Raw genomic sequence first — 15,822 nt, 5'->3', positions numbered from 1 at the left:
CATGCAAGTCATCCCTTCTCCCTGTCCCAAGAGTATGTTGGACTCACATCACCCCAAGATGCAGTTGATGGAGAAACAGATAGTTGGCGAGGGCATTGACAAGGTTGGCTGCAACTCCAGTTACGATCTGGGGCAGTACAATTCCCTGGAAAAAGGACACCGCATGCCATCCTTGAGATCCACAGAATAGGACTGCCTTTCTGCTACCCAAGCACACACAGGCTCCAGCTGGCCTGCTCAGCGGGTATCACAGGCATAGCTGGGGGGCTTAACTGGGGAGGTCATGTCCTTGTTGCTCCTGCCTTTCCACTCTCCCACCCCTTTCTCTTCCTTCTCTCTTTGAGGTATAAAGTGCGGAGTTCTGGCCACAGAGAGACACAGGCAAGATATGTTCAGCAGCAGGGAAGGAAGAAGATAAATGGCTTATTTCCAACAGTGCAAGGACTGGCAGGGGCTAAATGGGTCAACAAGGCACCTTTGACACTGGACGATAGGAGAAAATGAGAATACTTTCTTCACCAAAATAGAAATTCAGAAAATTGACCTAAGATCTTGAAGAAACTAGAGTTTCTTTCTAGAATACGGAAGGGATTCCAACATATCTAACTTTCAAAAGTACAGGACTGGTGAAACATCCAGACTGTTTGGTGTCTCAAAGTAAGACAGGGGTGAAAGTAAAATTACATCAGACCAAGGAAGTAAAACTCTGTCCTGCCCCGCATCCGGATAGAATAGCAGACGCAGATAAAGTCAGTGCAAACGTAAAAGGAAACCTCCTTTCTCCCAAGGTCACGCTGTCCCCATAAAGTGTCATTACTCCCCTAGTGGAATGACGAGTGCTTTCTGACTCACTGAGAAACTTTGTTGTCTAAAATCAGACTGTTCAGAAACATTGCTGTTTGAAATCATTTCAGTAAAAAGAAAACACCCCACTCTCGCGTGGAGGCTCAAAATCATGTTAACACAAAAAAGTAGCCTCAATTTCCAACCCAGGCACAGAGCTTCGTGGGAGCTCCTGGATGTGGCATTTTACATCTGTCCACCCTCAACATCCTTCTTAGCCTTGAGTTTCCAAAGGAGGAGCACCAGGTCCACGTCACAGCCCAGGCCTGATGTTGGGCCCCTCACTCACAGATCTGCTCAGCGCCTATCAAACCATGATTTCGCTTAAATGTCACCTGAACCCCACCCTTCTTCAAACCTTTATAATAACTCTTCTTCCTTTGCTGAGGCATCCCACAGCCTCTCTAGTCTCTCTCACTGCGACAGGCCAATAAACACAACTGCAAACCCACTGGCCTACAGTCCTGTCTCTGGTGGTCTCAGGCTGATGGGGCCAGGACAATGGTCTTGGCCGACAACTTGTGTAGGCCACATATTTATGGGGAGGCCCTGGTTAGTTTGTAGCAAGGGAATTAGTGATCAGATTTACTTTTCAGGCAGATGGCAGTGGATGGAGACAGGTTAAGGTCCTCTGAAATGACACAGAGGACAAATGGCAAGAAATGAATTCAGGGCTGGGCACGGTGGGTCACGCCTGTAATCCCAGCACTTTGGGAGGCCAAGGCGAGTGGATCACCTGAGGTCAGGAGTTTGAGACTAGCCTGGCCAACATGGTAAAACCCCATCTCTACTAAAAATACAAAAACTAGCTGGGCGTGGTGGCACGCGCCTGTAGTCCCAGCTACTTGGGAGGCTGAGGCAGGAGAATCGCTTGAACCTCGGAGGTGGAGGTTGCAGTGAGCCGAGGTCACGTCACTGCACTCTAGCCTGGGCAACAGAGACTCCATCTCAAAAAAAAAAAAAAAAAAGGAAGAAAGAAATGAATTCAGGTGGTGGCATGGAGGATTGGGAGGAGGCAGAAGCTATAGGACCAGGTGACTGACCAGATGTGGGAGGGAAGGAAAGATGGAGTCGAGGATGTGACAGGGACAAAAAGGACAGGTTACTGGGAGCAAAAATGGCTGAGGCCACGGAATTCCACCCATTGCGATGGAATGGAAGGCAGAGGAGCAGGCTCGTGGGAGAACGAGAAGAGGTGGCCAAGCCTGCAACACGCATGCGTCTCCATGTCCAGTGGAGTCACCTTCTCCTCCAAAGCCCTCTTGACTCTCCTACTTGAAAGTCTCCCTTCCCCCGATACCATCTGGCTCTGTTCCCACCCTCCACCCTCTCCGAGGGCATTCACTTTCTCCAAACTCCCAGCTGCTTCTCTTTGGTTCTACACTCAGCTAATGGTTGCCCTGTCTTCCTAGGGAAGGGCCCCAGGACAGAAACTCCTTCCACCCTGGGGGCCCAACAACCCCTGCCATTTCTACAGAACCCACCCATCATCGTATCTCCCACTGCTCCCACAACGCAAACTCTTCATCACAGACCTTCACCATTATTTGTTTGGATCATGTCCATAACTCTCCCCTCTTCCTCTCCCAATTAGTTAATTTCCCAAAACTAAATGCCCCAGCAGAGAACACAAGGCCCTGCGCACGCTGACCCTGGGCCAGCCCGCCTCTCGATGCCATCATCTCACTGCATCCCCTCCCACCGCAGTGGCGTAAAGAGACTCTGCGGGCCCCAGCCCCTAGGAACAGGCTCTGCTGCACCTCTGTCTAGGATCCCCTGCCTTCCTTCCCAACCTTGGAAACTCCACGTGTCCTCTGTAACCAAGTTCAAAGCTCCCAACCCCTCTCAGCTCGTGGCTCCTACTTCCATGCCTTTCCCTGTGCCCCAGAGAACAGGAAAGAAGACTTTCACACTCATTGTCCTCAGCAGGTCACATCAGACCCTGAGGTTAGGGCCACCACAGTGGTTGGGGGACTGAGTCCAGGAGAAGGCCTTGCAGGGTGCTAAGGCATCCATGCTGCCTTAGCAAGGGTCTAGATCAAAAGGAGACAGCCCAAAGCCGGATGAAATGTGTGGGTTTCCTTCTCTCTAGTCTACACCTATTTCTGATATGTCATTCTATGCTAATCGGGATTCTAAATATTCTTGTTTTGTTGATAGAGTAATATCCTGGCCGGATGCAGTGGCTCACACCTGTAAGTCCAGCACTTTTGGAGACTGAGGCAGGAGGATTGCTTGAGGCCAGAAGTTTGAAACCAGCCTGGGCAACATAGCAAGACCCCATATCTACTTTAAAAATTTTGTTCTAATAGAGGAATATCTTAACTTTAAGAACACTGCATAGGTGGGAAACTTCCTTTCTTCCTCCTCCCCTCCTGGCCCTTCCTGTTGCACATGCCTGGAGAGCCCGCCAGTGTGGCCGGGATCCATTGCCGAGTACCCCTGTTTACCTGGACTTATCTGGAAGAATGTAGAGAGTCCCACATATGCTGATTTCATAAATCCACCCCTACCAAGCCATGGCCTTTGGCCCTGACTGTTTAATCACAGAGGAGGAGTTCTGGCTGACGTTAGGTGTCATTAGAGTTTGAGCTCTTACATCCTCAATGAGAAAAGTGGGGCCATTCCGACAGAACAGAGCAGACAGTTTGGTTCCCTCTCTGCCAGACGAGCTGCCCCCAGCCTGCGCTCTGTCTTAGGAGCAAATGGGCATGCACCCTTCTTTCCAGGACGCTGGTTAAAATGCAGAGCCAAGGAACACTGCGGCTCTGAGCCCACCCTGCCAATGACAATATTTCCAAGTGGGAATTGGATAAGAGTTTTCCAGAGCCAAATATAATATGTTCTTTCCTTGACATCACTTAACAAACCTCTTGACATCCAAGTTCTGTGTGCACAACACTGAAAAAATATCTTTCAGTGGCTCCCAGCAGTGAGCTCCCTCCACCCTGGGGTCCCTGGTCCTGGAGTATCTTCAGGGCCCCCATTCCCAGAAAGGTACAAACTCCCATTAGCCTCCCAAAGGAAGAGAACAGTCAGTATTACCTGGTTGAGCAAATATTTAACTTGTAACATATAAAGAAAGGTTGCCTACAAGAGAACAAGAGAGATGAATGTTAATGTTTCAGCCTTGCCACACAGAAGTGAGGTCACACGGCAGGGAGCTAGGAGCCACAGCCAAGGTTCGGCTGCCCTCTGCTCCCGCACGGAGCCACAGAGGCTGTCGTCTCAGGACAGGGCTGGGGCCAGGGTGTTATGGCCCAGGGGCTTCCCACATCTTCTTTATGGGTGCATATGCCCCAAGCATATTCCCTCCATCTGGCAAAAGGAGGTGGAGTTTCCCTGGGTGAATGGCCAGGACTCTTCTGGGGACACTGGCATGGAAAGGAGGCCCCAGGCACACTCCAGATGGGCACCTCCATATAGACTGGTCCTATGTGGTGGAATCATGAAAGACTGTCACATTTACAAGGTTTCAGGATAAGTAAGCGAGCACACTGCCAATTCTGAGGGCAAATGGTGTCCCTAGATCCGTATGTTGAAGCCCTAGTCCCCAGTGTGACTATTTGGAGGTCCTCAAGGGGAGATTAAATTAAAATGAGGTCATTAGGGTGGGGCCCTAATCCAATAGGACTCGTGTCCTCATAAGAAGACAGGGGATACCGGGGGATGAATGCACAGGGGACAACCTGCAGAGGGTGGCCGTCCACAGGCCAAGGAGAGAGGCCGCAGAGGACACCAACCCTGCTGCACCTTGACCTTGGACTTCCAGCTTCCTGAACTGTAAGAAAATAAACTTCTGTTGTTTAAGCTCCCTAGTGTGTGGTATTATATTACGGAAGCCCCTGCAGACTAATTCAGCTACAGCCTCCAGCTGAATAACAAACACTTAGCTCTCAGGCCAGGTGTGGTGGCTCACACATGCAACCCAACACTTCGGGAGGCCAAAGCAGATGGATTGCTTGAACGCAGGAGTTTGAGACCAGCCTGGGAAACATGGTAAAATGCTATCTCTACAAAAAATACAAAAATTAGCTGGGCGTGGTGGTGTGCACCTGTAGTATCGGCTAATCAGGAGGCTGAGGTGGGAGGATCACTTGAGCCAGGGAGGCAGAGGTTGCAATGAGTGAGGACTGTGCCACTGCACTTCAGCCTGGGTGACAGAGTGACACCCTATCTTAGAAAAAAAAAATTAGCAAGACCCTGTCTCTACAAAACTAAAAAATTAGCCAAGTGTGGTGGCATGTGCCTGTAGTTCCAGCAACTCAGGAGGCTGAGGCAGGATGATGGCTTGAGCCCAGGAGGTCAAGGCTGCAGTGAGCTATGACGATCCCACTGTACTTCAGCCTGGGTGATGGAATGAGACCCTGTCTCAAAAACACCAAACAAACAAACAAAAAAACCACTTAGCTCTCATTGTTCATTGGCCACACACTGCTGTGTCAAACATTAACCCATGCTTAAGGTTCTGTGTGGTCAAACGCAGCAGACCAAAAAAAAGTCTAAAGGTTCTAAGTGACACCCTCAGGGGTTCTGAGATGGGTGAGACTTTGCCCTTGTTTACAATAAAAGTTTGCACTCTTCTCCATGGATGATTCTGGAGGTCTCTCCAGCTCTACTCCAGACGTCCTGGAGTAGCCTCAATCTTGGTGTTCCTTGAGATGAACATCTGTTGTGTCCTTAACAGGCATAAATAAAAACAGGCTTCCTTGAAGGCACCAACACCACAGATAAGAATCATCTAAGACTGAGCCAATACACTGAGCTCACAGATATGGTGGCTACCTTTCACCCACGGACCCCAAGAAGGGAATCTCTTAGCCCTTGAGCACTTACAGGAAGAGCTGGAATGAAGATCGTGACATAGGTCTGGGTAAGCCTAAATAACGAAAAGAAAAAGAAAACAAAAACTGTGATGGAGGCCTCTGTTTCCAGGGAAAGTTAGGCAGAAGAAAATAACTAAAACTGCCTTTTCCATTCTTGGCTGTTTCCAGATTAATGGGCTTAAGTTGCTGGAGCAGGCCGGGCGCGGTGGCTCACGCCTGTAATCCCAGCCTGTAATCCCGAGGCAAGCAGTTCATGAGCTGAGGAGTTCGAGACCAGCCTGGCTAACATAGTAAAACCCCGTCTCTACTAAAAATACAAATATTAACCAAGTGTGGTGGCGGCCACCTGTAATCCCAGCCACTTGGGAGGCTGCGGCAGGAGAATCTTTTGAACCCAGGAGGCGGAGGTTACAGTGAGCTGAGATCACACCATTGCACTCCAGCCTGGGCAACAGGGCGAGACTCCATCTCAAAAAAAAAAACAAAACTGCGGAGCAAATGTGAAAATTTACATATAGAGCTTGTCATCTTATAACCCTGATAACCTTTCTTGATTATTTTATATCTTTATGTCTAGGACAGGGTTTTTCAACCTCAGCACTATGGCCAGGTAATTCTCCACCTGTTGTGTGGTGCTGTCCCGAGCACTGCAGGATGTTCCACAGCCTCCTGCCTTCTACCAGGAGCACCCTCCTACTGCCAGCTGTGATAACCAGAAATGTCTTCAGACATTGTCAAACGTCTCCTGGGTTCAGAGCCGCTGGTCTAGATAAGAGCTTTAAAAGCTCTTACCCAATTAAATCAGTGGGTCTCAAACTTGACAGCACAGTAGAATCACCTAGGGTGCTTTGAAAGATACCGATACCCAGGCCTCACCACAGACCAATTAAAAGAGAATCCTGGCCGGGCATGGTGGCTCATGCACTTTGGGAGGCCGAGGCGACAGATCCCGTGAGGTCAGGAGTTTGAGGCCAGCCTCGCCAACATGATTGAAACCCCGTCTCTACTAAAAGTACAAAAATTAGCCAGGCGTGGTAGTAGGTGCCTGTAATCTCAGCTACTCGGGAGCCTGAGGCAGGAGAATTGCTTGAACCCAGGAGGCAGAGGTTGCAGCGAGCCAAGATCGCACCACTGCATTCCAGTCTGGGGGACGGAGTGAGACTTGGTCTCAAAAAAAAAAAAAAAAAAGAAAAATCTTGGGTGGTAGGGAGCAGGGGCACAGGTGGGTTTGAAAGCACCCAGGTGATTTTAATATCAACGAAGGTCAAGAATAACTAAACTTTGAGCAAACGTCACAAACTACCATCCCACATGGAGGGTGCTTGCAAATCTATTTTCATTTAAAACTCTTAACCATGCAAGTCACCCAGGAGGCGAGGGGGAGTACATCTCAGATGCCAGGTGTGGAAAGTACTAAGACCTAGGAGACGTCAGCCAAGGAGAGATGAGCACCACCTTGGTGTGCAGCCTTGTCCCTGGCCCTGGCTGCACCCAGACAGGATAATCTTTCCGTGGGATGGACGCCAAGTCCCGCTGCGACAGGTTCCATCTTACCTGGACACATCTGGGTCCTGCCTGAAGAGCAGCAGGATGTGCTGGGTGTTGAGAAAGAGCGCCCAGCAGGGGAAGCAGCAGAGGAGCAGGACGAGCGCACTCCGCTGCAGGATCACGCCCACGTGCTTCAGGTTCTGGCTCCCGTACGTCTGGGGTGCACACAGCCAAAATGAGCCCATTAGCACAGACCCAGCACACCAGCTGTCCCCTAAAAGCCTTCAATTGTGCCACACAAAGAAGCAGGTTGGCTGGATAAGGTGGCTCACGCCTGTAATCCCAGCTACTCAGGAGGCTGAGGCAGGAGAATCGCTTGAACCTGGGAGGCAGAGGTTGCAGTGAGCCGAGATCACGCCACTGCACTCCAGCCTGGGGGACACAGCAAGACTCTGTCTCAAAAAAAAAAAAAAAAAAAAAAAAGAAGCCCATGGCCCTAGACACTTTGCCCCAGTGTTTAGGTAGGAGAAGGATGGTGTGAAAGATGCTTCTCAAACTCAGCTTCCAGTAGCATCACCAGGGGAACATTTTCAAAACTCTCACTAATGATATTCTGGACTTAATTCACACAGGGCAGGATTCAGAGATCCGTACCTTTTTTTAAAAAAAAATTATATTTAAAACAATTTCTTTTGCAGAGGTAAACAATCTGAAATTCACACTTCATTTATTTTTAGAGACTGGAAAAAAATTTTTTTAGGGAGGCAAAGTTTGCAGTGAGCCGAGATTGTGCCACTGCACTCCAGCCTGGGTGACAGAGCCAGAGTCCATCTCAAAAAAAAAAAAAAAAAAGCCAGGCTGGGCATTGTGGCTCATGCCTATAATCCCAACATGTTGGGAGGCTGAGGTAGGAGGATTGCTTGAGCCCAGGAGTTCGAGACCAGCCTGTGCAACATGGCAAAACCCTATCTCTACAAAAAATTAGCTGGGTGTAGTGGCACATGCCTGTAATACCAGGTACTTGAGAGGCTGAGGCAAGAGGATCGCTGGAGCTCAGGAGTTCGAGGCTGCCGTGAGCAGTGGGTGTGCCACTGCAGCCCAGCCTGGGCGATAGAGCAAGACTCTGTCTCCAAACAAAACAAGCCAAATTTTGTACATCTTTTCAAGTCGTGCACATCTCTTCCAGCTCCAGGTTCAGTGACATCTCTGGTAATCTGAAATTAACCAGAGGAAATACTTACGCCCCTGGAACTGGCAAACACTGCCAGTCATGTGTTTCCCTCCTTCCCCTTTCACCCAAGGCCTGGTTGCTGAACATTTACCAGCCTGCCACTGGGTGGGGCCAGGCAAGCTGGGTTTTAACAAGCTCTCCAAGCTCAATCAATGCACGCTCAATTCTGAGAACCACAGAACTATACCAAATTCAAACGTGGGGAGCAATAGAAGGGAATTTTACAAAATGTCCCCTATTTGATCAAAATATAGGGTAAGGCAGTTGTGCAGACAAAAACTAGTTGACAAGGCTGAAAGAAACCTAGTGACATTTCAAAGAAAGCAGGCCAGGAGAAGAGGAGTTGCTGGCTGATAGGTGCTGCAAGTGCTGGCTGCTGAACTCTTCCTGCCAGTGGAGCTCTTCCATCTACACTTGAGAAAAGATGTTTGAGGTCACTGTGAGCGTGTGACCACTTCCATTTACCTGGGAGATGAGGGTGTCACAGGCAGAAGATAAGCCGAATCCCACTGAGACACCAGTGACATTGATAACCTGCAAATAAACCCAAAGATAAGGCCCTATAGAGTTAAAGGAGGAAAGGAAGACAAAATCCCTGTGTGTATTGATAAGAGCCTGCAAAGCTCCTCCTTCAGCATTCACAAGTCAATTTTACCAACTTTGTTAGCTGCCTGGACCCCACTCATACTGAAGCCATTCTCACAGGTTTAACAAGAATTCTGGACAGAACTATAATATATATATTTTTTGAGACAGAGTTTAGCTCTGTTGCCCAGGCTGGAGTGCAGTGGCGCGATCTCGGCTCACTGCAACCTCCACCTCCTGGGTTCAAGTGATTCTCCTGCTTCAGCCTCCCGAGTAGCTGGGACTACAGGAGTGCGCTACCATGACCGGCTAATTTTTGTATTTTTAGTAAAGACGGGGTTTCACCATGTTGGCCAGGATGGTTTGATCTCTTGACCTCGTGATCCACCCGCCTCCGCCTCCCAAAGTGCTGGGATTACAGGTGTGAGCCACAGCGCGCGGCCTAGAACTATAGTATTAATCAGGCTGCACTTTGACCCACTTCCTTATAACTGAAAGTCATGTGGCACCAGACACTGGCCATGTACATCCCCACTGTTCCTACAGATGGGATTTCTGGTGTTACAATGATAAGGCTATTGTTTAAGAATTGTTGGCCAGGTGTGGTGGTTTATGCCTGTAATCCCAGCACTTTGGGAAGCCAAGGTGGGAGGATCGTTTGAGCCCAGGAGTTTGAGACCAGTCTAGGCAGCATGATGAAAACTCGTCCCTACAAAAGTACAAAAACTAGCAGGCATGGTGGCATGCTCCTGTAGTCCCAGCTATTTCCAGAGGCTGAGGTGGGACGATCACTTGATCCCAAGAAGCAGAGGTTACAGTGAACTGAGATTGCACCACTGCACTCTAGCCTGGGCAATGGAGTGAGACCCTGTCTCAAAAAAAAAAAATTTCTGGCCGAGCATAGTGGCTCACGCCTGTAATCCCAGCACTTTGGGAGGCCGAGGTGGGCGGATCACGAGGTCAGGCGTTTGAGACCAGCCTGACCAATATGGTGAAACCCAGTCTCTACTAAAATACAAAAATTAGCCCAGCATAGTGGCGGGCGCCTGTATTCCCAGCTACTCAGGAGGCTGAGGCAGGAGAATCACTTGAACCCGGGAAGCGGAAGTTGCAGTGAACTGAGATCGTGCCACTGCACTCCAGCCTGGGCAACAGAACAAGACTCCATCTCAAAAAAAAAAAAATTTTTTATTAAGCAGAGCCTGAATTCCAGTGAAACATCTGACACCAACCAGTTTGCAGACCCACAAGGAGGAACTGAATCAGCATGAGAACACAGTTTCTTCATCTCCCTGTCCCATGACTTCATGCTGCACTCTTCAACCAATCAACAATCACACTTCAGCCCATTCGAAAATCCTTAAACACCCTGCCCCAAACTCCTCAGAGAGACTGATTTGAGGTGTCCTCATTCAGTGGCCTTACAATTAAACCTCTTTCACTGTTGCAACCTGCCATCTCAGATTATTGACTTGTGACAAGCAAGTTGACAAGCCTATTACGGTTACAAGATCTTGGATGGGTAAGGACATGTACAAGTTTGGAAGGGGAAAAGCCTAGGCTAGAGGTGATTACCCAGGCTTTCTCTTTTAAAAAGTCACTTTGCTCTCCAATTTCGGGTATCAGGGACACTTCTTCCGGGAATGCAATGGCACAGTAACACAGAAAAGTCCGCCTGCTGGAGACCTAGCATGGCCTGCGTCCGTACCCTGGGGGGCACTGGGAGTGCAGAGGCGGTCTGAAGTCCGGACTAGTGCCAGAGGCTTTCCAGGTGTGCTCGCCTTCACCAGGGTCAGCAGCAAACCCTGAAGTTTCGAGGAGCCTAGAGCAGTGCCCCCCAAACCAGGGAGTGGTATCACAGGATGTCTGATGTGCTCCCCATCTGGAACCTGGTACCTCCACTTGACTCTACAGCAGGGAACCTGTGGACAACAGCCCAAACTGCACCCAGCCTGGAAGCACTGACTTTGATAAGTCCTTGGCCACATCCTGTAATTCCTTGGCCAAAGAGAATCTGCTGAGGCTTGCTAAGTGCATTTCTGTCTTCTCCTCTATTGCAAATACAATACTTAAAAACAAAATGGATAATTAAGCCTGGGATTGTCCATGTTGCCCGCTAAAGCCAAAATAAAATAAGCCATGCTGGGTGCAGTGGCTCACGCCTGTAATCCCAGCACTTCAGGAAGCTGAGGAGGGCAGATCACGAGGTCAGGAGTTCAAGACCCACCTGACCAACATGGTGAAACCCCATCTCTACTAAAAATACAAAAAATTAGCTGGGTGTGGTGGCATGTGCCTGTAATCCCAGGCTGAGGCTGGAGAATCATTTGAACCCGGGAGGTGGAGTTTGCAGTGAGCCAAGATGGCACCACTGCACTCCAGACCGGGCGACAGAGCGAGACTCCATCTCAAAATAAATAATTAAATAAAATAAAATAAGCCATATATACTCATAGCTAGCTCCACATATACTTGGTGACTAGTTCCCAGGCGTTTCGCGTAGTTCATGGATAGCAAACTCAAATGCCTGGCGAGACCAGGCAGATCAAGTGAAATTGTGTCTCCGTCAGGGCAGGAGGAAAGGGGAACATACACCTGCCCGAGAGCCACTGAATCCACTTTTCTAGAAACAACCTAACTAGACAAACCAAACCCTTTGTTCTTACATGGCCAGCTGACAATTCCTGGCTGAGATTGATGACATGTCTCTGGTTTTGGGGGTTTGCATCTATTATACAGAGAGGATTTGCAGTTCCTCCCAATTTTAAGTTTGGACACAAAGATCTAGATTTTTACCTTCCAGACCCATTTCTAGATTAGGACTCTCAGTAAGACAGACAACTGAGGAGTGGGCATGGGGGGGAGTCAGTTCCTCTGAGGAAGTCAGACTGAACTCCCCTTTTACTGTTCCCCTCCCCCAACTGTGGGACCAAGAGTGGGAACGAGTTCCATGGATTAGAAATAAGATGATGTAGGCCGGGCGCAGTGGCTCACACCTGTAATCCCAGCACTTTGGGAGGCCGAGGCGGGTGGATCACCTGAGGTCAAGAGTTCAAGACCAGCCTGACCAACATGGTGAAACCCCGTCTCTACTAAAAATACAAAAATTAGCCAGACATGGTGGCAGGCACCTGTAGTACCAGCTACTCAGGAGGCTGAGACAGGAGAATTGCTTGAACCCAGGAATCGGAGGTTGCAGTGAGCCGAGATTACACCACTGCACTCCAGCCTGGGTGACGGAGCAAGACTCCGTCTGAAAAAAAAAAAAAAGAAAAGAAATAAGATGATGTGAGGCTGGGCACGGTGGCTCATACCTGTAATCCCAGCACTTTCGGAGGCCAAGGCAGGTGGATTGCTTGAACTCAGGACTTTGAGACCAGCCTGGGCAACATGGTGAAACCCCATCTCTACTAAAAATACAAATATTAACCAAGTGTGGTGGCGCACGCCTGTAACCCCAGCTACTCAGGAGTCTGAGGCAGGAGAATCGCTTGAACCTGGGAGGCAGAGGTTGCAGTGAGCCGAGATCGCACCATTGCACTCCAGCCTGGGTAACAGCGCGAGACTTCATCTCAAAAAAAAAAAAAACAACAAAATAAAATAAAATAAAATAAATGAGAAGATGTGATAGACAGGATAATGCCCCCCCAGATGTCCCCAGCCCAATCCCCAGAACCTAGGAATCTGCAAGGTTACACAGCAAAGGGGAATTAAAGTTGCAGCACCTTGATTTTAGGCCATGAAACCCACTTCAGACTTCTGCACTCCAGCACTGTAAGAGAATAAGTCTGTGTAGGTTTCAGCCACTACATTTTGATGATTTGTTATAGTAGCAGCAGAAGGCAAACACAGACAGTGTTGGTAAACCTGCCAGAAAGCCCACACGTACCGCGATTGCCAGCGTGACTGCATCCAGCTCCAGCTTGCCCAGGTGGCCACAGAACACGGAGCTTATGAAGCTGATCAGGAACACCATCAGCTGAACCAAGAACTGGGAAGAGAGGGGAACGGGAAGGGACGTGAGTGACCACCATTGCAGGGAAGCCTGGGGCCCCAAGTGTGACCCCGACCCAACAAGTCCAGTCAGAAGTAAAGAAATACAACTTCAGTGAGCCTCTGCCACCTTTCACAGGCAAATGTACAATTTCTGGGGCTGGGGATGGGAGGCTTCTTGAAATATTAAAACATTTATTTGCAACCACTGGGTCAGAATCACTTTTTTGAGAACTTCCCAGCCTTTTCAGCTTTTCTTTTTTTTTGAGACAGAGTCTCACACTGTCACCTGGGCTGGAGTGCAGTGGCGCGATCTTGGCTCACTGCAACCTCCGCCTCCCAGGTTCAAGCAATTCTCCTGCCTCAGCCTCCTGAGTAGCTGAGATTACAGGCAGGCGCCACCACACCCACCTAATTTTTGTATTTTTAGTAGGGACAGAGTTTCACCATGTTGGTCAGGCTGGTCTCAAACTCCTGACCTCGTGATCTGCCTGCCTCGGCCTCCCAAAGTGCTGGGATTACAGGCGTGAGCCACTGCGCCCAGCCTGCCTTTCCTGTTTTTCAGTTCAGTTTCTCAAGCCATAGATCACATTAAATTTCCTCTGCAATGTGCAGAGGCTGCCTTCTGGGATAACCCCCTTGTTATCCAAGATTCCTAGTGAGGACTGGAGAGAATACAGCCTTCAACAACAAGAACACATTCCAGCAAGGAAGTCTGTAGACAGGAGGAGCTGGAGGTAGCGATGAGATCGTCCACTTGGAGTCCCAGCGGGATCCGGACTCTCAGGGTGAAACATTACAGGCCTGCTGAACGCCTTGCATTCTAGGAAGCCTCAGATGTGAGGGCAAATTCTGGAATATTGAACCATTCTTCCTCGAAATTCCAGTGGGCAATTCTATGAATTGCTCCACAGTGCTTTCACTGCATGATTGGATAATGAGCTTATTTCTGGAGGTTAACTTAAAATCACCTCCTGCCCCCCACCCACTAGACCCAGGCGGTCCAGTATCTCTCTTGGGGAAGCCCCTCTCCCCTGGCAGGCTACACGGCCCAAAATGGGGAGTTCACCTGACCCCTGCTCCCTAGGAGAGAATGGGTGTGTAAGGATTTGCTGCTGCCGCCGCTGCCTGCATCTGCCCCATGGGGCCCTCACTGAAGCTGATACCCCAGAGTTGGTGATGCTGCTGCTGGTCTAGCCACAAGGCCGCCTCTCACCGCCCTCAGGGAGAACAGAGTCCTCTGTGCTGAGCCCACAGAAAGGTCCCTCTTTTAGGGCTCCAATGACTTAGGTTCTAGAGCTGACCTCCACCAGGCTCACACACAGCCCATCTGCCAGCTCTGCAGCCACCCCAAAACTGCTACGTCAGGACCTCATCAGGCCCCCGAGCCATAATGGTTCCGATGATCTCCCTCTTTTCTTCCCTAGAATCCACATCCCGGGAGAGACTGTTTTCAACTCCTGTGATGGGCCCAGACCTTCAGAGCAAGCACAGCCTGTTCCTAACCCTAGGGGTGTGTGTGTGTGTGTGTGTGTGTGTGTCTGTTGTAGGAGAAGTATCTTTCTTGTATGAACTCCTACATGATCCAGGCACTTCTCTCACTACCACAGAAGCCTAATGTGAATTTAATCGCCACAGTCCCCCTGCTACTGAACGTGAGGAGCGCTTTTGCAATGTTTTGCGTAAGCCAAAATAAGACAGAAGATGGGAATAAAAAGGGGGTGGGGTGGAGGTGTCAATAAAAAAGGCTGACATGAAGAACCAGATGCTGGAGAATCTAAACCTAGAGCCAATGGATGCCCAGTAGGCCTGTAATGGTGCCACACGATTTGGGCGTTGTCACCACCCTTACAGATGTCCCCTGTGGTTTCACTGGGTGGAGCTTGGTGTCTCTTTAAATTGTGAATTCATGTATCTTTAAAGGCCACAGGGTCCCTTTTATTTGTAAACTCGGCATCACTTCCAAATCTGTTCAGTTCACTGTGCTTTAAGCTTTTGCACATCATCTGTAACAAATGGTTGTGTTCACAGAATCTGTCTTCTCCTTTCCCACGGAACATCACGTTTACACTCCACAGTTCCCTGCCTCCCTGTGGGCCACCTGTGAGCTGTTTTTCATGGCTTCACATGGAAGTGTGCTCGGTCTCCCCTACTGCCCGGCCTTTGGAGTGCTGCCCAGATCTTACCATCACAAATTGCACTGCCTTGAACATCTTTCTCACTTGGGTGGGGGCCAGTCCAAGGGAATCATTAGATGTCTCGGATACAAAAGGCCAGGAAGTCGAGCTGAGTTAGACTAATCCATGTGAGATGCATCTTCAATGTCAATGCCAGCAAAAATAGTTTTTTTGAGAGCTGCCGCAGCTCTGCCAGGGTTACGGCAACAACCCTGTACTCCGACTGCCTGAGTCGGGCAGCCTCATGCAGTCAGCCCATCCTGAAAGTCCGTGCCAGGGATCTTGGCTTGAGTCCAGATTTACTAACCTCTTCTCAGATCCTGGTTTCAAGCCCTTTGGGTGAACGCTTGGCCATAGACTGTGGATCATGTACATAAGGGCCACCTGGGAGCCTTTGCCCTGGCCCATCGCAAGACCCAGGAGGTTAGGCCAGGCTCAGTGGCTCACGCCTTGTAATCTCAACACTTTGGGAGGCCGAGGCAGGTAGATCACCTGAGGTCAGAAGTTCGAGACCAGTCTGGCCAACATGGTGAAGCCCCATCTCTACTAAAAATACAAAAAATTAGCTGGGTGCAGTGGTGCACACCTGTAATCCCAGCTACTCGGGAGGCTGAGGCAGGAGAATCGTTTGAACCCAGGGGGCAGAGGTTGCAGTGAGCGGAGATCAAGCCACTACACT

At 49.5% G+C, this 15,822-nt stretch overlaps 1 protein-coding gene across 1 annotated transcript in view, besides 2 other annotated features; it reads right to left on the bottom strand.

The window, feature by feature from the left end:
* SLC47A1 (solute carrier family 47 member 1) overlaps positions 1–15,822 on the bottom strand; it is a 45,181-nt gene that overhangs the window by 23,678 nt on the left and 5,681 nt on the right. The window contains exons 2-7 of the mRNA NM_018242.3: positions 12,863–12,964; positions 8,854–8,922; positions 7,224–7,372; positions 5,680–5,722; positions 3,889–3,933; positions 48–145 (exon numbers count right to left, since the gene is read on the bottom strand). Coding sequence (NP_060712.2) covers positions 48–145; positions 3,889–3,933; positions 5,680–5,722; positions 7,224–7,372; positions 8,854–8,922; positions 12,863–12,964 — 506 coding nt within the window. The remainder of the gene's footprint in view (positions 1–47; positions 146–3,888; positions 3,934–5,679; positions 5,723–7,223; positions 7,373–8,853; positions 8,923–12,862; positions 12,965–15,822) is intronic.
* Positions 2,029–2,529: an enhancer, noted in NCBI's record as "H3K4me1 hESC enhancer chr17:19456141-19456641 (GRCh37/hg19 assembly coordinates)". NCBI's record gives its function as "activates a minimal SCP1, AML or CMV promoter by ChIP-STARR-seq in primed H9 embryonic stem cells {active_cell/tissue: H9 hESC(primed)}" and the evidence as "EXISTENCE:reporter gene assay evidence [ECO:0000049][PMID:30033119]".
* Positions 2,530–3,030: an enhancer, noted in NCBI's record as "H3K4me1 hESC enhancer chr17:19455640-19456140 (GRCh37/hg19 assembly coordinates)". NCBI's record gives its function as "activates a minimal SCP1, AML or CMV promoter by ChIP-STARR-seq in primed H9 embryonic stem cells {active_cell/tissue: H9 hESC(primed)}" and the evidence as "EXISTENCE:reporter gene assay evidence [ECO:0000049][PMID:30033119]".

Source organism: Homo sapiens, chromosome 17 (assembly GCF_000001405.40).
Source record: "Homo sapiens chromosome 17, GRCh38.p14 Primary Assembly".
NCBI classification, from domain to species: Eukaryota; Metazoa; Chordata; class Mammalia; order Primates; family Hominidae; genus Homo; species Homo sapiens.
Note: the sequence above shows the minus strand (reverse complement) of the source record. Positions and strands in the feature narration are given on the sequence as shown.